Source organism: Homo sapiens, chromosome 16 (assembly GCF_000001405.40).
Source record: "Homo sapiens chromosome 16, GRCh38.p14 Primary Assembly".
NCBI lineage: Eukaryota > Metazoa > Chordata > Mammalia > Primates > Hominidae > Homo > Homo sapiens.
This window is the reverse complement of record NC_000016.10, coordinates 584,724-602,904: the sequence shown is the minus strand read 5'-3', so window position 1 is coordinate 602,904 and position 18,181 is coordinate 584,724. Positions and strand designations below refer to the sequence as shown.

General features: G+C 57.8%; 1 protein-coding gene across 5 annotated transcripts in view, besides 9 other annotated features; it reads right to left on the bottom strand.

The window, feature by feature from the left end:
* RAB40C (RAB40C, member RAS oncogene family) overlaps positions 1-13,548 on the bottom strand; it is a 39,912-nt gene extending 26,364 nt beyond the window's left edge. For 2 of the 5 annotated variants that reach the window (NM_001172665.2, NM_001172666.2), the window contains exons 1-2: positions 12,786-12,839; positions 12,472-12,644 (exon numbers count right to left, since the gene is read on the bottom strand). In NM_001172665.2, the coding sequence (NP_001166136.1) occupies positions 12,472-12,613 (142 nt within the window). In that variant the 5' untranslated portion in view covers positions 12,614-12,644; positions 12,786-12,839. Of the gene's footprint in view, positions 1-12,471; positions 12,840-13,153; positions 13,237-13,357 lie in introns of those variants that run through there. The other 3 variants (NM_001172663.2, NM_001172664.2, NM_021168.5) reach the window with 3 other exon arrangements.
* Positions 2,823-3,324: an enhancer, noted in NCBI's record as "OCT4 hESC enhancer chr16:649581-650082 (GRCh37/hg19 assembly coordinates)". NCBI's record gives its function as "activates a minimal SCP1, AML or CMV promoter by ChIP-STARR-seq in primed H9 embryonic stem cells {active_cell/tissue: H9 hESC(primed)}" and the evidence as "EXISTENCE:reporter gene assay evidence [ECO:0000049][PMID:30033119]".
* Positions 12,629-12,948: a silencer, noted in NCBI's record as "silent region_6926". NCBI's record gives its function as "represses an Ori minimal core promoter by ATAC-STARR-seq in GM12878 lymphoblastoid cells {active_cell/tissue: GM12878}" and the evidence as "EXISTENCE:reporter gene assay evidence [ECO:0000049][PMID:35858748]".
* Positions 13,039-13,158: a silencer, noted in NCBI's record as "silent region_6925". NCBI's record gives its function as "represses an Ori minimal core promoter by ATAC-STARR-seq in GM12878 lymphoblastoid cells {active_cell/tissue: GM12878}" and the evidence as "EXISTENCE:reporter gene assay evidence [ECO:0000049][PMID:35858748]".
* Positions 13,229-13,278: a silencer, noted in NCBI's record as "silent region_6924". NCBI's record gives its function as "represses an Ori minimal core promoter by ATAC-STARR-seq in GM12878 lymphoblastoid cells {active_cell/tissue: GM12878}" and the evidence as "EXISTENCE:reporter gene assay evidence [ECO:0000049][PMID:35858748]".
* Positions 13,289-13,348: a silencer, noted in NCBI's record as "silent region_6923". NCBI's record gives its function as "represses an Ori minimal core promoter by ATAC-STARR-seq in GM12878 lymphoblastoid cells {active_cell/tissue: GM12878}" and the evidence as "EXISTENCE:reporter gene assay evidence [ECO:0000049][PMID:35858748]".
* Positions 13,289-14,196: a biological region, named in NCBI's record as "NANOG-H3K27ac-H3K4me1 hESC enhancer GRCh37_chr16:638709-639582".
* Positions 13,323-14,196: an enhancer, noted in NCBI's record as "NANOG-H3K27ac-H3K4me1 hESC enhancer chr16:638709-639582 (GRCh37/hg19 assembly coordinates)". NCBI's record gives its function as "activates a minimal SCP1, AML or CMV promoter by ChIP-STARR-seq in naive and primed H9 embryonic stem cells {active_cell/tissue: H9 hESC(naive and primed)}" and the evidence as "EXISTENCE:reporter gene assay evidence [ECO:0000049][PMID:30033119]".
* Positions 13,669-13,978: a silencer, noted in NCBI's record as "silent region_6922". NCBI's record gives its function as "represses an Ori minimal core promoter by ATAC-STARR-seq in GM12878 lymphoblastoid cells {active_cell/tissue: GM12878}" and the evidence as "EXISTENCE:reporter gene assay evidence [ECO:0000049][PMID:35858748]".
* Positions 14,319-14,518: an enhancer, noted in NCBI's record as "active region_10207". NCBI's record gives its function as "activates an Ori minimal core promoter by ATAC-STARR-seq in GM12878 lymphoblastoid cells {active_cell/tissue: GM12878}" and the evidence as "EXISTENCE:reporter gene assay evidence [ECO:0000049][PMID:35858748]".

The window sequence follows — 18,181 nt, the reverse complement described above, 5'->3', positions numbered from 1 at the left end:
ACCCCAATCTCATGTCCACTTTAAGACTCATTTCTGGCTGTGCTTGGTGGCTAACACCTGTCATCTCGACACTTTGGGAGGCCAAGGTGAGAGAATCACTTGAGCCCAGGAGTTCAAGACCACTAGCCTAGGCAACATGGCAAGACCTCAATTCTACAAAAAATAATTTATTGGCCAGGCACAGTGGCTCACGCCTGTAATCCCAGCACTTTGGGAGGCCGAGGTGGGTGGATCACTTGAGGTCAGGAACTCGAGACCAGCCTGGCCGACATGGTGAAACCTCATCTCTACTAAAAAAATACCAAAAAACTAGCCGGGCGTGGTGGCAGGTGCCTGTAATCCCAGCTACTCGGGGGGCTGAGGCAAGAGGCTTGAACCCAGGAGGCAGACGTTGCAGTGAGCCAAGATCGTGCCATCACACTCCAGCCTGGTGGACAAGAGCAAGACTTTGTCTCAAAAATAAAAAAATAATTTATTAAAAAATTAGCCAGGTGTTGTGGTGCATGCCTATGGTCTTAGCTACTTGAGAGGCTGAGGCGGGAGGATCACTAGAACCCTGGAATTTGAGGCTGCAGTGAACTATGATCACTGCACTCCAGCCTGGAAGAGTGAAACTGTCTCTCTAATAAAAAAAAACAAAACCAAAAAAAAAAAAACAGAGATGACCACTGCTAATGTTGTCATATATTTCATTCCACAATTATTTTACATACTTAAGATATCAAGCATATACACTTCATTGAATAATCATTAAATGTGCCTCCAAATCAGTAGTTTTTTGTTTTGTTTTGAGAGCTGTTGCCCAGGCTGGAGTGCAGTGGTGCAATCTCGGCTCACTGCAACCTCTGCCTCCTGGGTTGAAGCGATTCTCTTGCCTCAGCCTCCTGAGTAGCTGGGATTACAGGTGCCCGACACCACACCCCGCTAACTTTTATATTTTCAGTAGAGACGGAGTTTCACCATGCTGGCCAGGATGGTCCCAATCTCCTGACCTCGTGATCCACCCACCTCGGCCTCCCAAAGTGCTGGGATTACAGGCGTGAGCCACCGCATCCGGCCTTTTTTTTTTTTTTTTTTTTTTTTTTTTTTACTTTTTTTTGCAGGGATAGGGCCTTGCTACGTTGCCTAGTCTGAACCCCCGGCCTCAGGGGATCGCCTGCCTTGACTTCCCAAGTAGCTGGGATTATAGGCGTGCACCACCGCACCCGGTCCTGTGTTGTGATGTTTTACTATTTGATAAACTTATAAGCATTCCCTCTCATGTAATTTTAGGATAACAATTCTATTTTTCATGAGAATCTCCTGTCTGAACACTGCATGCATGGCCCTAGTGAACTGACTGAGACTAGGGGAACAGTCCCAGCAACGATCACATTGCTCTGCTGACGCGGCTGCGGCGGGGACCTGCCCGGAGTCTGGCACCCAGGGGTGCTCAGCACACACCTGAGCAAACTCACACTCTGAGCCGGATCCTGGCGACCCGGGCTCTGGAAACTGACGTGTGGACACTGTTGCTCCCGAGCAGAACAGCCTTCTGCCCAGCCCACCTAGGGCAAATGTAACACCTCTAACAGGCTGGACACAGACGGTTTCTCCTGCTCTTTCATTTCAATTCAGAAAGGATGCACACTTTCAGAATGAGCAGATACTCGGTGATACAGCCTTGATGGTGTGGATAACACACAAAAAATCATAGTTTTTGGTACTACAATTTTTTAAAAGTCAAACCAGCTCCACACACACGTGGGAGCTACAGCTTCTATCTCTGTTCCAAACACAAGCAGCAGGCCCATTTACTGAACGGTGAGGAAAACTACATCAGGAGAGAAGAGCTTTAACGCTAATGACCAGGAGGTGGCTCTGCAAGGAGGCTAAGGGTCTAAATGCAGAGGCAGACAGAGGGGCAGGCTGCTCCTGGGGTGCCAGAGGGCCCCTTCCTCCACAGCAGTCCAGGAGAGCCTCACGCAGCTGCCACACACCAGGCTCTGCCACAGTTGTGACTGCCAGCTCTTCAGAAGACAGAGACTGGAGTCAAAACCTTTCTGTTTCCCCACAGGCAAAACCTGGGCAGTCACCGCTTGCTGATAATGAATTATGTGTTAAACTGTCTGTGTGACGCACGTAGGCACCAAAGCTCTTATTTTTATTTTTTTGAGATGGAGTCTCACTCTGTCGCCCAGGCTGGAGTGTAGTGGTGCAAACTCGGCTCACTGCAACCTCCGCCTCCCCAGGTTCAAGCGATTCTCCTGCCTCAGCCTGCTGAGTAGCTGGGAATACAGGTGCATGCCACCAGGCCAAGCTAATTTTTGAATTTTTAGTAGAGACGGGGTTTCACCATGTTGGTCAGAACGGTCTTGATCTCTTGACCTTGTGATCCGCCCGCCTCGGCCTCCCAAAGTGCTGGGATCACAGGCGTGAGCCACCGTGCCCATCCGGCACCAAAGCTCTTTAAAAAAGTCCAACAACAATGTTTTAAACTCGGCAGGTTAGGTGACATCCATTTCTATTACTTACACTTTGCACTTGCTACTATTACTATTATTATGACTACTATTTTGCATATACTCAATTTTTAATAAAGTAATTTAAGAAGCTGACATACTAGCTATCCCTCCCCACCAGGAGGACACAGGCTCTTCAGAGAGATGGCCGTTTCCAGGGCAGGCAGGACCCACATCTGCTGGAAGTACAGACTGTTCCAGGACACAGGGAGCTCCGGGAACTCAGGGCATAGCCCAGGACGCAGGTGCCACCTGAAGAGGCTCCAACATCAAGGGGGCCATGGGAGTCCCAAACCAAACAGGAAAGGAGTATGATGCCACAAGGGAACAAAACTTTGCAAATCCACGCTGACTGATGCCACGAGGGAACAAAACCTTGCGAATCCACGCTGACTGATGCCACGAGGGAACAAAACCTTGCGAATCCACGCTGACTGATGCCACGAGGGAACAAAACCTTGCGAATCCACGCTGACTGATGCCACGAGGGAACAAAACCTTGCGAATCCACGCTGACTGATGCCACGAGGGAACAAAACCTTGCGAATCCACGCTGACTGATGCCACGAGGGAACAAAACCTTGCGAATCCACGCTGACTGATGCCACGAGGGAACAAAACCTTGCGAATCCACGCTGACTGATGCCACGAGGGAACAAAACCTTGCGAATCCACGCTGACTGATGCCACGAGGGAACAAAACCTTGCGAATCCACGCTGACTGATGCCACAAGGGAACAAAACCTTGCTGAATCCACGCTGATTAATGCCACGAGGTAACAAAACCTTGCTGAATCCACGCTGACTGATGCCACGAGGGAACAAAACCTTGCTGAATCCACGCTGACAGTAGCGAACACCCACGGGTGTGCATTTTCACGTACATGCCTATCGACAGAAGCAGCCATGGCAGCAGCGCACACGGAGGAGGCACGGCGTGGCCCCAAGGGAAGCTGCCTCCTCCTTGCTGACCTGGTGAAGTGGGTCCTGCTGGCATCAGCTGACCTGGCGGCTCCTCTCAGGCAGGAATCAGGTGGGCGCAAGACTCTGCGGGCAGCCACTAGGGCTGTGGCCGGCCGACACGGGCAGGCATCAGCCTGACACTGCCTTGGCAGAGCCTGAGGACACAGACACCCCTCGGAGCAAAGCTGGTGGCACAGGCAGAGAAGGGTCTCCTGTCAGTGGCAGCTTCGGCCGGGGCCGGGGCCTGGGCTGTGACCATACTCCCCTCCCCTGCAGCAGTGACTTTCTGGACCGAAACACAGCACCTCGGCAACCCTGATCAGTGTCACTGTGTTTGTGTTCAGAGTCCTGAATCCTGATGTCATCTACCCTATTACCGCCCCTCCCAGCTAGGTCTGACACACAGGCTGTACCTGCTGTGCCCAGGTGGCCGACAACGTTGCTGACCAGGAAGTCAGGCGAAAGCCCAGCAGCAGCCGCCGGCCCCGGGCAGGGAAAGCAGCACACAGGCTCCCACCGGGTTACCCACGCTGCTGGAGCTGCTGGAGAGTGCTGTGCTTGACCGCCCGGCCTACACCTTCACTCAGGGTTGACATGAGGTTCTTACATCCGGCCGCTGTACAAACTGTAAAGTACCTGCCCATTTCCAGGACTCAGCTCTTCTCTTCTTCCATCCTCTTTTCTTTATTTTTTATTTTTTGAGACAGGGTCTCACTCTGTCACCCAGGCTGGAACGTAGTGCAACAGTCAGACTCACTGCAGCCACCACCTCCCAGGCTCCAGTGAGTTTCCCACCTCAGCCTCCCAAGTAATTGGGACTACAGACGTGCACCACCACACCCAGCTAATTTTCTTTTTTCTTTTTTTTTTTTTTTTTTTGTGAGACAGAGTCTCGCTCTGTCACCAAGCTGGAGTGCAGTGGCACAATCTCAGCTCTCTGCAACCTCCGCCACCCAGGTTCAAGCAATTCTCCTGCCTCAGCCTCCCAAGTAGTTGGGGCTACAGGTATGCGCCACCACGCCCGGCTAATTTTTGTATTTGTATTTGTATTTTTTTTTTTTTTTGAGGTGGAGTCTCGCTCTGTCACCCAGGCTGGAGTCAGTGGCGTGATCTCGGCTCACTGCAAGCTCTGCCTCCTGGATTCACGCCATTCTCGTACCTCAGCCTCCCAAGTAGCTGGGACTACAGGTGCCCGCCACCATGCCCAGCTAATTTTTTGTATTTTTATAGAGACAGGGTTTCACCATGTTAGCCAGGATGGTCTTGATCTCCTGACCTCGTGATCCACCTGCCTTGGCCTCCCAAAGTGCTGGGATTACAAGCGTGAGCCACCATGCCTGGCCAATTTTTGTATTTTTAGTAGAGACGGGGTTTCATCATGTTGGCCAGGATGGTCTCAATCTCTTGACCTCGTGATTCACCCACCTTGGCCTCCCAAAGTGCTGGAATTACAGGTGTGAGCCACTGCACCCGGCCTTTTTTTTTTTTTTTTTTTTTTTTTTTGTAGAGATGGGGTCTCACTGTGTTGCCCAGGCTGGCCTCAAACTCCTGGGCTCCAGCACTCCGCCTACCTCGGCCTCCCAAGGTGCTGAGATTGCAGGTGTGAGCCACCGTGCCCAGCCCTCTGCTCTTTTCCAAAGATGCTGAGCTGGGCTGGGCACAGTGGCTCATGCCTGTAATTCCACCAACTTTGGGAAGCTGAGGCGGGCGGATTGCTTGAAGTCAGAAGTTCAAGACCAGCCTGGCCAACACAGCAAAACCTCTGTCTCTACTAAAAATGTAAAAAATTAGCCAGGTGTGGTGGTGCATGCCTGTAATCCCAGCTACTCAGGAGGCCAAGGCAGGAGAATCGCTTGAACCCATGAGGCTCAAGAGGTTGCAGCGAGCCAAGATAGTGCCATCGAACTACACCCTGGGTAACGGAGCAAGACTCTGTCTCAAAAAATAAAAATTAAAAAAAAAAAAAAGATGCTAGATGGCTGTCCCTCTCACAGGATGGGCATGTCTTTCATCAGGGTCAGTTTACACAGCCAGGACCACATCACCCATCCAGGATTCGAATCCTTCCCAGTTTGGTTTGAGGACTGTGTTCACTGTAAAGACGGCGAAGGCTGCTCAGGGGCCGAGTGCTTCTGTTTCCACTCTGCCATCTGGGAATATGGGACCAACTCTTCCCTTCACCCTTTCCACAACTCCAGGCCCCCCAGCACCAAGCCCTCTGTAAGCCATGGTCAGAAGACCCTTCCACATGCCCCTGCCACCACCCACCTCATCACCAGCACTAGAACCTGGCTGCTCCTGAGCCCCTCCCATCCCATCTTGCCTGGACCACCTCCCCCTGCTACCTACATGTGCAGCACCCTGGCGGTGTCTGGTCGTGCCCTGGTCTTCCGCCCCATACCCATGGGTCCCTACCTCTCCACAGCGCCAATGCCCTTGTCCCTCCGCTAATTTCTGAAGGACAAACGTCCAGAAATCTCTGCTTTACTCAAAATCCTGATCTCAGCACGAGACAGCCGCGCACTGCCTGTATCAGAGTGCGCCGCCATCCCCAGGTCGGCTCAGAAGCCTCCTCGCTACCTTAGGCTCAAAGTGCGAGTCCACCCTGCTGACATCTGTTTACCTTCACTGCCAAGAGGACTGAAGAGGCCCCTCTTCCACCCAGCTCCTGCCCTGAGGATGCCCACAGCCCATGGTCTTGGCAGCCAGTCCTTCTTCCCACAGCTGCTCCTCTTCCCACCGCCTTCGTAACTTCTGGTCCCTGACACCCGCCAGTTCCACAGTCTGCACATCCTTCTCCCGACCGCCCAGGAAGTCAGCTCAGCCTGACAAGCAGTCTCCCCGCCTTCTCACAGTGGTTCGGCAGCGTTCTCCGCACCAGGATGCTGGACGCCGACACCTTTCCCTGCTTACTCCAAACGCCCGGCGGATGACACCCTGGCTGACGTGGCCCCTGGGCCCCAGAACGGCCCTCGGTGGGGTGGCATCGTACCATGTGCTGCGCAGGGGAGGACTCAGCTGTGATGCAACCCCTTCCTGCTCTACGCCAGCTCGCAGGGGCTCCAGACCAGGGTAGGCGGCAGCTTTTCAGGGACCAGCAGCTTCGCGCCTTCTCAGCTGCAATCTTCAAATAGAACAAGAGGCAAAAGTACCTGCGAGGACCCAGATCCCTCCCTTGTGTCCTTCCCGCCCACCTCTCAGCTCCCCGATGTGGCTTCCTTCCTGAAACACTGTTCAATTTAGCTCATCGTGCAGGCCACAACACGTGTGCTCGACACGAGTCATCTGTGTCCACACCACCCTGCGAGAGACCTGGCTGGCACTGCCGTGCACCTGCCATGCAAGCATTTGCCCTGTTGCCTGTGAGCGCTTAGAGCAAGTGCTAAGGACTGGAGGTGGACATTAACTCACTTGTCCAAAAGTTCTGGCATCTGGCCTCTGGACAAACTTAACATTCAATATTCTACCTACTGACTCAACAGTTTCCTGAAAATTTAAGTAAGGCCATGCCAGTCCAACTTATAAAACAGCACAATTAGAGGCCAGGCACAGTGGCTCACCCTTGTAATCCCAGCACTTTGGGAGGCCGAGGAGGGTGGATCACAAGGTCAGCAGTTCAAGACCAGCCTGGCCAACACAGTGAAACCCCATCTCTACTACAAATACAAAAATTAGCTGGGTGTGGTGGCAGGTGGCTGTAATCCCAGCTACTCGGGAGGCTGAGGCAGTAGAATCACTTGAACCCGGGAGGTGGAGCTTGCAGTGAGCCGAGACCGTGCCACTGCACTCCGGCCTGGGCAACAGAGTTAGACTCCGTCTCAAAAAAAAAAAAAAAAAGAAGAAAAAAGTTATAATGACCCACAGAAGTCCTACCTCCTGACCACATGGGTTCTCAGATGCCAGCCAGGGTCATCCCGGGCCTGAGGCGGTCCTCTGAGGCTTGGGTCTCAGGAGAACTTAGTGTGCGCGGTGCAGCAGAAGCAGGTGTGTGGCAGCCGTCCCCAGGCCCAGGTGGACGTGAGGAGGACAGGGGAAGAGCCATGAAGCCCGCTGCTTCACAGGAGGCCTGCAGGGCGGCTCCTCCCGGACCCCAAGCCCACCCCTACAGCTGCCGCCTCCTGAGCCTCAATCCCTCGTCTGCACAGTGGGGGTGGTGCTGCCTTCTCACAGGTGGTGGTGGGGGCTACACGGGGGCAGCGGAAAGCGCCCACCGGTGCTGGCAGGCAACACTCATCACACGCTGGCAGCATTAGCTGTTGCCATGGTGAACACCCCGTTCCTCCCACAACACCACCCTGCTGGAAAACCCGGCACCTCACAGAGGAAAGGCAAACCCCAAAACACTGCCCCAGAAAACGAGCAAAACCCCCGAGGCAGGTGGATCACTTGAGGTCAGGGGTTTGAGACCAGCCTAGCCAACATGGTGAAACCTGCCTCTACTAAAAATACAAAAATTAGCCACGCATGGTGGCAGGCGTCTGTAATCCCAGCTACTCAGGAGGCTGAGACAGGAGAATCACTTGAACCCAGAAGGCAGAGGTTGCAGTGAGCCGAGATCGCGCCACTGCACTCCAGCCTGCGCAAGAGAGTAAGACTTCGTCTAAAAAAAAAAAAAAAAAAAAGGAAGACGAGCAAAACCTAATCAAGTGCAGGGGAGGAGAAGGGACTCTGGGCTGCAGTGGTCAGTGGTGCCCAACACCAACAGTAGGCACAGGGAAGCCACGCACGGCTGTCCAGTCACCTAAAGACACACAGCTAGAACCTCCCACGAAACCCTCAGCTAGCCCTGGGGATAAGCAGCCGACGACACATCAGGACAATGAAACACGGAGGAGCCTCTCAAGATAGTGTCCCCTGGAATTGGCCACTTCGGAGCCACGAACTTCAAGCCAGATGAGAAGAAACGTTTGTAACTGTTTGGAGAAAGCTCAGGGAGTCGTGAAGCCGAAGAAGCTGGGACACCCACACAGGGTGCCCTCGCTCCCATGGGTACAGCAGGCAGCGTGTGGCCCCACAGACATCTCAGTGACCACCAGGCCCCAACATCCACAGCAAACCGTGATGTTAGCCTCGCCATGTCCACAACCGCCTCCCTCCGTTTCTCCCCACAACTTGCCAGGCTCAAAGGACCGGAGTGTCACTCAGCAGCTTCCACCAACACTGAACCCCAAAAGAGCAGAGAGAGAAATAAAGTCAAGCCAGGATTAACCCCTTCTGAAGTCTTCCAGGACCCGGGCACACACACCCTGACCAACGTGGCGGGAGGAAAACTTGCTCCCAGGAAGGTTTGTGGGGACACGGTGCCGAGGGTGGAACTGCCTTAATCCAGGACCTTCGATGCCCCCTGCAGAGCGGGAGCGGCTGGGCTTGGGGAAGGGTGTGCACCCTGTGCGGGTGGTTCCTGGGGGCCAACACGGGCCCACCACCCTGGCCCACACCCTGGAGCCTGACTGCAGGTTCGCTCCTGAACTGCAGCTTTCTCCTCCCCGCCGCGTGCACCACCCACACTCCTGGATGAAGCATAATTCCTGCCGGGTAACTCGCCACCATCACCCAGGGGCACTCTATGCAAAGCGCTCTGTTCCATCCTGAAGAGAGCATGAAGCACTCCCTAAGATCACTGCTGGGTGTCAAAGAAAGGAAAGCCTTTCCAGACCTAGAGATCCAGAAACCCAGCGCACACCCACATTAGGAGACACGGAAGAGCTCACAGGGGCTCCCACAGGTGCTGGGCGTGTGGTCACACGCCACTGCCTCAGGTGCCAGTACTAAGAAAAAGGTCACTTCGATGACTCATTTGTTTGTGAAGCTGGAGAGGGCAATGTACGCTCACACACCTGTCTGAGGAACATGCCAGACAAGACTTCCAGGCAGGTAAGCGATCCGGTGTGAGCTGAAGGAGCTGTGGGCCATGCTGAAGCAGTAAGCCTTGCACAGAAGGGGCCTCCCTGCCAAGGGCACCCACTGCCCAGCAGGCAGCCCTGAAGAAACACGGAAGCTGGAAACACAGAGGGCACCTCCCAACAAAGGAGAGAAAGCAATGGAGGTTAACACGTACGTCCTTCCCACGAGGGCCAGAGGCCTAAAGCTCCTGCTACAACTCTTTCAAAGGAGAATAAATTCTCAAGATGCTGAGTCCTGAGAACCAGCTGCTCCTGAGCTTCTGAGACCCTGAATAGCCCCCTTGGGAAACCCTCAGATCCACCAACTTCACCCTGATGAAGAGGGCTGGCCCCTGAGGTTGGCAAGCTGCCACCTGACCACAAAGACCTGCTCCTTGTGCTGTGCACGTCTTAACCTTGAGACCTTAGACACAGAAAGCGCGTTCCACAGCCCAGAGGCGCTTCCTTCTCTGCTCGAGGCCACAGGACTCCTGCGGGGACCTGGAAGTGTGCCCCGGGCCCTGAGAGCACGTGGTGTCTTTCTAAGAGTGGACTCTCCTCTCTGCCTCTGGTCCAAGCCACTGTGAGCCTCTGAAGTCTCTGCAAGCAGGCAGGTCTCCACGTCTTACACAATACTGGCCCCACTTCAGTGAGCATGTCAGAGGAAGTGTGGCAATGCCCCACAGCCCGACGAAGGGGACAGGGAGGAAGGAGGGTCCTGTCTCTCCAGCTCCTGGCTGTGTGGTGCAGTTGGGTAGGCGAGCTGGCCAGCATGGCTGAGCCGGCCCTCAGAAGCACGCCTTCATGTCCTGGGAAAACACCGATTGATGAAACCCAATCCTTCCCGTGCTCTTCTGAACATGCACAAACACGCACGCCGCCAGCCTCCTGGGAGTGCGCAGCGCCCCTGGAGCCAAGCTTTAGAAGGCAACGCCACCTTCACAATCAACTTGGCCGCCCACCACCTGAGTCAGGAGTTACCAATTCTGGGGCAGTCACTGTCAAGTGCAGGACCAGGAGGCGGCAGGTGCAGGGGCCTAACGTGTGAGCCCCCAATGCCCCAGTGGGCCTTACACTTCCCCCACCTCAAAATGGACACAGAGCTCTTCCTCCCTGGCCCTTTCCAACCCCTCCTCCAGGCTGAAGCCAGGAGCACAAGCTTCCAGAGCCCCCGGTGCTGCTGCCCACTGCTGAAGCCATGCCAGGAGGAAGCGCGCTCAGCCTCAGTCCAGGTAATCCCACGCTCTGCCAACCCCCGAGTTGAGAGAGTGGGGGATGCTGCGCCCACACTCTCAGCAGCCAAAGGCAGACAATTCAGCAAATAGCAGACGCTCAGGGCAGTCAGACAGGACGGACAAGAGCCCAAGAAACAAAGCAAGGGGAGAGGGCAGGGACCAGGAGAGGTAAGTTCGCCAGCGTAGATGGCATTCCCTGAAGCGCAGATGGACTCTGGGGAGGCTGGATGCTGACTGCTCCCAGTTCATCTGGGGCCACATCCCATTCGGCTGGGTCCAGGCCCCCATGAGAGGGGATGAGGACCACACCGTCTCACTCACTCTGTTAACCACCTAAATTAAGAGGCATGCTCAGGCAGGCAAGCCCCAGTGATGCCACCTATCTAGTGTATTTTAGCCATGCCACTGGAAGTTAAAAACAAACGTTCAGGCCAGGCGCAGTGGCTCACGTCTGTAATCCCAGCACTTTGGGAGGCCGAGGTGGGCAGATCATGAGGTCAGGAGATTGAGACCATCCTGGCCGACATGCTGAAACCCCGTCTCTACTAAAATACACACAACAAAATTAGCCGGGCGTGGTGGCATACACCTGTAGTCCCAGCTACTCGGGAGGCTGAGACAGGGGAATCGCTTGAACCCAGGAGGCGGAGGTTGCAGTGAGCTGAAATTGTGCCACTGCACTCCAGCCTGGCGACAGAGTGAGACTCCGTCTCAAAAAAAAAAAAAAGAAAGAAAAGAAAAGAAAACAAAACAAAACAAATGTTCAGTAACTCATTACAGAGGTATTTTCTTCTAGCACAAAGCGTTGACTCCCTCAGCAGTAAGCAAATACCTCAGGGGAACAGCGTGCCTATAAGGACCTGTCATCTGTGCACGCTCGAGACAGGGTCCCAAGAGCAGCCCAGCAGCACCTGCCACCAGACCTGGGTCCGTGACACCTTCCCCGGGCCCATGACACCTTTCCCCAGATCTATAACACCTTCCCTCGGACCCCAGATGATCCCAGACCCATGACACCTTCCCTTAGGACCATGATGCCTTCCCCCAGATCTATGACACCTTCCCTCAGACCCCAGATGATCCTAGACCCATGACACCTTCCCCTGAGATCCCAGACCATGACACCTTCCCTTAGGCCCATGACACCTTCCCCTGAGATCCCAGACCCATGACACCTTTCCCCAGATCTATGACACCTTCCCTCGGACCCCAGATGATCCCAGACCCATGACAGCTTCCCTTAGGACCATGATGCCTTCCCCCAGATCTATGACACCTTTCCTCGGACCCCAGATGATCCTAGACCCATGACACCTTCCTTTTGGCCCATGACGCCTTCTACCGGGACCATGACATCTTTCCCCGGACCCCAGATCCTGGACCCATGACACCTTCCCTCGGACCTATGACACCTTCTCCCAGACCCCAGATCCTGCACCCATGACACCTTCCCTCCGGCCCACGACACCTTCCCCCGAGCCCATGACACCTTCCCTCGGACCCCAGATGATCCTAGACCCATGACACCTTCCCCAGGCCCATGACACCTTCTCTAGGACCCATGACACCTTCCCCTGGGCTCCAGATCCCGGACCCATGACACCTTCCCCTGAGATCCCGGACCCGTGACACCGTCCCCCAGACCCCGGGTCCATGGCACCGTCCCCGCTGGGCGCGTCCCTCTGGTCCGTCCTCCTGCCCCCCGGCGTCACCTCGGGACTGGAGCACGGGCACCCCGCAGCCACCGAGCTACCGAGTCTGGAAGCCAGGCAAAGGCGTTCCTGGGAACGTTCGGCGGCGCTTGGAAGGGCCGGGCCGAGGGCGAGCTCCGTGCCCAGCTCGCCGGGCTCGGGCCCCGCGTAGCAGCGCGCGCCGCGGGCCGGGCCTTACCGTTACTGTAGGCGTACGGGGACTCTGCCGCGCCGTCCTGCAGGCTCTCCAGGATCTCGCCCTTGCCCACGTCGCTGTCGCCCACCAGCAGGAACTTGAGCAGGTAGTCGTAGCTCTTCACCGGACTGCCCTGCGAGCCCATGGCCGCGCCGCCTGCGCCCCGCGCCGGCCGCCTGCCGAAGCACCGCCGGGTGAGGCCGCGGCGTGAGAGAGCCCGCGCCCCGCACCTGCGCCCGTTGCGTCCGCCCCACGGCGGCCGAGTGGGCGCGCCCGAAGCCCAGCGCCGGCCCCGCCCCGCCCGCGCCCGGGCGCACCTCAGCCTCGCCGCCGCCCCGCCGCTTCCCGCACCACCAGGGCCGCCGCGCCGCCCCACCCCCGGCCGCGCCGCCGCCATTGGCCACCCTTCGCCCGCCCTCCCGAGCCCATTGGCCCACCCGCCCGTCCGTCACGACTTCCCCGCCCTCACGGCGTTCCACACGGCGCCGCCAGACCTCCGGTCGCACCGCCTCTTCACCACCCCGCCCTGCCTTCCCGTAGTCACCAGAGGTCGCCCGCCGCCCTCCTTCCCTCAGCCATTGGCCTGTCTGCACGTCTGTCATGACCGCCCCTCCCCCGCCTTTCCCACACGGCGTTGCGGAGACAGCGGACGCCTGCCTCATCGCCGTCGCCATTGGCCACTCGCCTCCTGCTTTCCCGGAACCATTGGTTCGATTATAAGTTCACCAAGATCATTCCCTTCCCTGCGGCTGCCTCCCAGAGAAATCCCAGAGCCGCCGGCCGCCCCGCCCCCGGCCCACAACGCCGTTGTCCTCGCCCGCCCCGTCGCCGGCGCCATTGGGTCGCTTGCATGTCCATCACGGCTCTGCTAACCCCGCCCCTTTCCTACACGCTCGCCAATCAGGGGCTCGGAAGTCCACGTTGTTTGTATCCGCCCCTTCAACGCGCGGACGGGCGGCAGGATGCAGGCGCGCCCGAGCCGAGGCGATGCGGCTGAGTCCGGGAAACGAAAGCCCCTCGCAGGCTGTGCCGCCTGCTTCCGCAGAACCCTCGGAGGGAGCGGCGGGGTGGCCCCGGGCGCGTCCTCTCTAAGGCGGTGCGGCCAATCGGCGCTCGATGAGGCGGAACTTCCTCTCCGGGGCAGGGGCGGGACTTCCGCCCGGCGGCGGCGGGGCGCACCGTTGGGTCACCAGTGAGTCTGCAAAGTCGCTGAGGTTCTGGGACAGCGCGGCGTCACCGAGCGTGAGCCTTCCGCCCGGGGACGCGGCCGCCACAGCTCGGGACGCGGGGAGCGCGGCCGGCGCGAGCTCAAGACCCGGCCCGACGTGCTCACTGCGGCAGCGGCGCCTCCTGGACGGGGACCCAGGGCCCGGACCGCGCTCTTCCCGGGGGCGCCGCCGAGCCCTCGTCCCTGCCGGGCCCGGCTGCCGCAGGTGCGTGGGCGAGCGAGGCGGCTGCGTCCGCGGGCCCCGGCGTGGGGTCGGGGGTTGAGTGGGCACGTGGTTCTTTCTGGGGTGACGAGAAGGTCCTACCGTCGTGGGGATGGTCCTGCCTCTCTCGGTGAAGTTACTCACTCGGAACGGGTGAGCTTTGTGATACGTGCTCTGCGTTCAGTAGCGCTGTTACAGTCGTAAGTAAAAGCAGTAACGTCAGCGCCGACCCAGCGCAGCCCTCTCCAGACCGGGTGCGGAGCCCGTCACGTCTGCCCCGCCGGCGAGGAGCAGAGCCCGGCAAGAACCCTCCTCCAGAGGGGCCCCGACCAGGGCTGTGCCTCCGGGAGCAGGTGCTGCTTACACAGAGGGACGCCAGGACGGGCAGCCCCACACCTCCAGTGACCTCCCGTCCCCCAGAGCTGAAGACATGGCCTGACTAAGCGGCGACCACATCGACGCACCAGTTTTTTCTTTTTTGAAACAGGGTCTCCCTTTGTCGCCCAGGCTGCAGTGCAGTAGCGCGATCTCGGCTCACTGCAGCCTCTACCTCCCCGGCACAAGCGATCCTCCAGCCTCAGCCTCCCGAGTAGCTGGGACTACAGGCGCCACCATGCCCGGCTACCTTTTGTATTTTTTGTAGAGATGGCGCCTTGCCAAGTTCCCCAGGCATTAACCCGGAAACAACCTGGCGGGTCAGGGAGAGCCTCTTCTGCTCAGAGGTCATTGTGCCCAGACTTGAGCCCTGGCTGTGAAGTCCCTGAGGCCCCTCACTCCAGGGACGGGAAGCACCAAAGATGTGATGTTTCCTCCTCGGTTTCTGAGACTGCCTGGAAGCGGGGGGTGGATAGTGGTGAGCAGCCGTCTCCTCCTTTCCTGAGAACATAAATCAGAAACGCTTTCTGAGGCCGGGCACGGTGGGTCATGCCTGTAATCCCAGCACTTTGGGAGGCTGAGGTGGGTGGATCACCTGAGGTCAGGACCAGCTTGGCCAACATCGTGATAACCCCCTCTCCACTGAAAATACAAAAATGAGCCAGGCATGTTGGTACGTGCCTGTAATCCCAGCTACTTAGGAGGCTGAGGCAGAAGAATTGCTTAAACTCGGGAAACGGAGGTTGCAGTGAGCTGAGATTGTGCCACTGCACTCCAGCCTGGGCTACAGAGTGAGACTCTTGTCTCAGGAAAAAAAAAAAAAAAAAAGTGCCTCAAAAATAAACAATTAAAAATGTTCTTATGGTCTTCACAAAAATAAACTTTTTTAAAAAAGAAAAACAAAGTAAAACGCTCTCCAGACCCAGCCGTGGGCCACTGCTGCCTAGTTCCCACCTCCTGGGACAAGAAAGGGTCATCCCCTGGCTGATGAAGAAGTCAGGTTTCTCCCACTGGAGCTGCCCACCACAGCCTGTGGACACAGCCCTGTCCTGGGTTCCTGGGTTCAGGAACCTTTCCATAGGGTGAGATCCTTGGAAAGCTGCTGTGCCCTCTGACCTCCCAGCCTCCGAGCAGAAAAGTGTCCCAGGGAACCCAGATGGGTCTAGGGCAGCAGGCCCAGTGAAGGGAGGGACGGACTCTGGGGCAGCAGGCCCAGTGAAGGGAGGGACGGACTCTGGGGCAGCAGGCCCAGTGAAGGGAGGGATGGACAGAGGGGTGCCATCCTCTGGCATCCAGGCCTTGTGGACCGAGGGGCAGCTGCGTGCACTTACGCAGGGTGTCCTGGGGTCCACCATGGCCAAGCCAGGCCTGGGCAGGGGCAGGACACCATCCCTGCAGCTGAGAGATCTCAGGCCAGGGACAGGGCAGCCAAAGACAGTGGAGTGTGGGAAGAGACCTCCACCCAGAAGTTTGGGGTGAGCCACCACCTGGGCACCCACTTGTTGAGCAGTCAGGGTATTTCTGGGCCCATCTCGGAGGCCTGAGCAGTGTCTGGTGGAGACCCTGACAGCCCCCTTCTGCCACACCCCACACTCAATGGCCATGGCAGAGACGGGCCAGGACACTAAGCGGAGCCTCTGTCCAAGTGAGGGGCTTGGGAGACAAAGGGAGCAGTTTGGGGTGTCCACCCTGCCCCCGGGGAGCCCAGCAGCCGCCGGGATGTCCTCAAAGTCCTGCTAAGGGGGTGGACAGTTGCCCAGTGGGGCAGACAAGCCTTGGCCCCTGAAGCCCTGTGCCCAGGGAGCACCTACAAGTTTCAGCTACTCAGGGACCCCCCCCAGTCCTGGCCTGCTGCCAAGGGGAGGCCTCACTCACATCCCATGAGTGGACAGAGCCAATCACCTTGGTGGACACAGCGTGCAGTGGATGAGGGCAGTGAGGGATGGAGCGTCAACATGGTCCCATTTCTGTGGACAAATTAATGACAAGGGAATGTAGCTTTGCAGCGGAAAATCCTGCAGACAAGACCTCGACCAAGTAGTCACGTTGGCATCACTGGGATGAACAGGTGGGCTCTGTGTGCCACCCTGGGTGGTGCCCTCTGCTGCTGCCACAAGCATGAGTGGCATCTCATCATGAGGGTCACCAGCAGACCCAGCCAGGGACACTCCTGAGTAACGGGCTCCATCCCTAAGCCCCCAGAGGCTTTGGAGACTGGCCCATGACACGTGGGACACGCTGGAATGGGGTCGGTGGCTTGGACGGCATCCCTGCAAAAGCCCCGGGTTTGAGCACCGCACTGGCTGCCTTGTTCTGAGGAAATGCACGCTGAAAATTCCAGAGCCAAAATGGGCAGCTGACTCAAATGGTGCAGAAAAACATAAAGAATGTGCTGGCTGGGCCCGGTGGCTCACACTTGTAATCCCACCACTTTGGGAGGCCGACGCAGGCACATGGCTTGAGCCCAAGAGTTTGAGACCAGCCTGAGTAACACGGTGAAACCCCATCTCTACTAAAAGTACAAAAATGAGCCAGGCGTGGTGGTGGGTGCCTGTAATCCCAGATAGTCAGGAGGCTGAGGTGGGAGAATCACCTGAGCCCAGGAAGGTTAAGGCTGCACTCCAGCCTGGAAAATAGAGACCCGCTCTCAAAAAAAAAAAAAAAGAAAAAATGTGAAAACATACACATGGCATGTGGTCGTGGGGGGATGTAGGTGAAGGGTGCTGGAAGCATCTGTGTTATTCTCACAGCATTTCTGTAAGTCTGAATCTGTGAAGTACTGGTGAGACCCTTCTCTGTGGGCGGCCCCAACTCTGAAAGGGAAGGTGTCTGCTTCTGAGGGTGCCCTGAGGGTCCATAAATGGTCCTGGGCAGGCCTTGGAAAAGCTCCAGCCCATTGCCCTGTCTGGGTCGGCAAGGCAGGGGGGACCAGAGCTCTGGTGGAGGGATGAGGGGCACCCCACAGGTGTAGGCTGTCTCCAGGCAGGGGCTGTGCAGCAAGGACAGACGGAGCCTGCAGGTGCAGGCGGCACCTCTTGGTGGCTGCGAGTGGCTGGGGTGACGGTGTTCCATTGGCCAGCTCTGGCGCCAAACCTAGCTGGCCCTCGGGATAGGCAGTCAGCCCAGTGCCCAGCAGAGGGGGTGACCGCTGCCAGGCACGACCCATGACATGGCCATCACAGAGCAGTGGACTGAGCTGTGTCAAGACCTTGACCTGGTGGAAGCCCCAGGAGGCGTGGCAGCCCAGTGAGCAGCTGGGGGGAGTGGGAGGTACAGGTTGGGGGTGTTGGTGGACCCGGTGGGCAGCTGGGGGGAGCGGGAGGCACAGGTTGGGGGTGTTGGTGGACCCGGTGGGCAGCTGGGGGGAGCGGGAGGCACAGGTTGGGGGTGTTGGTGGACCCGGTGGGCAGCTGGGGGGAGCGGGAGGCACAGGTTGGGGGTGTTGGTGGACCCGGTGGGCAGCTGGGGGGAGCGGGAGGCACAGGTTGGGGGTGTTGGTGGACCCGGTGGGCAGCTGGGGGGAGCGGGAGGCACAGGTTGGGGGTGTTGGTGGACCCGGTGGGCAGCTGGGGGGAGCGGGAGGCACAGGTTGGGGGTGTTGGTGGACCCGGTGGGCAGCTGGGGGGAGCGGGAGGCACAGGTTGGGGGTGTTGGTGGACCCGGTGGGCAGCTGGGGGGAGCGGGAGGTACAGGTTGGGGGTGTTGGTGGACCCGGTGGGCAGCTGGGGGGAGCGGGAGGTACAGGTTGGGGGTGTTGGTGGACTTGGTGGGCAGCTGGAGGGGGAGTTGGGGGTACAGGTGGAAAGGGTGGGGGGCGAGGTGGGCAGCTTTGGGGGACAGGGGACACAGGTGGGAGGGGTGGCAGGCCAGGTGGGCAGCTGGTAGGAGCAGGGTAGGCCAGGTAGGCA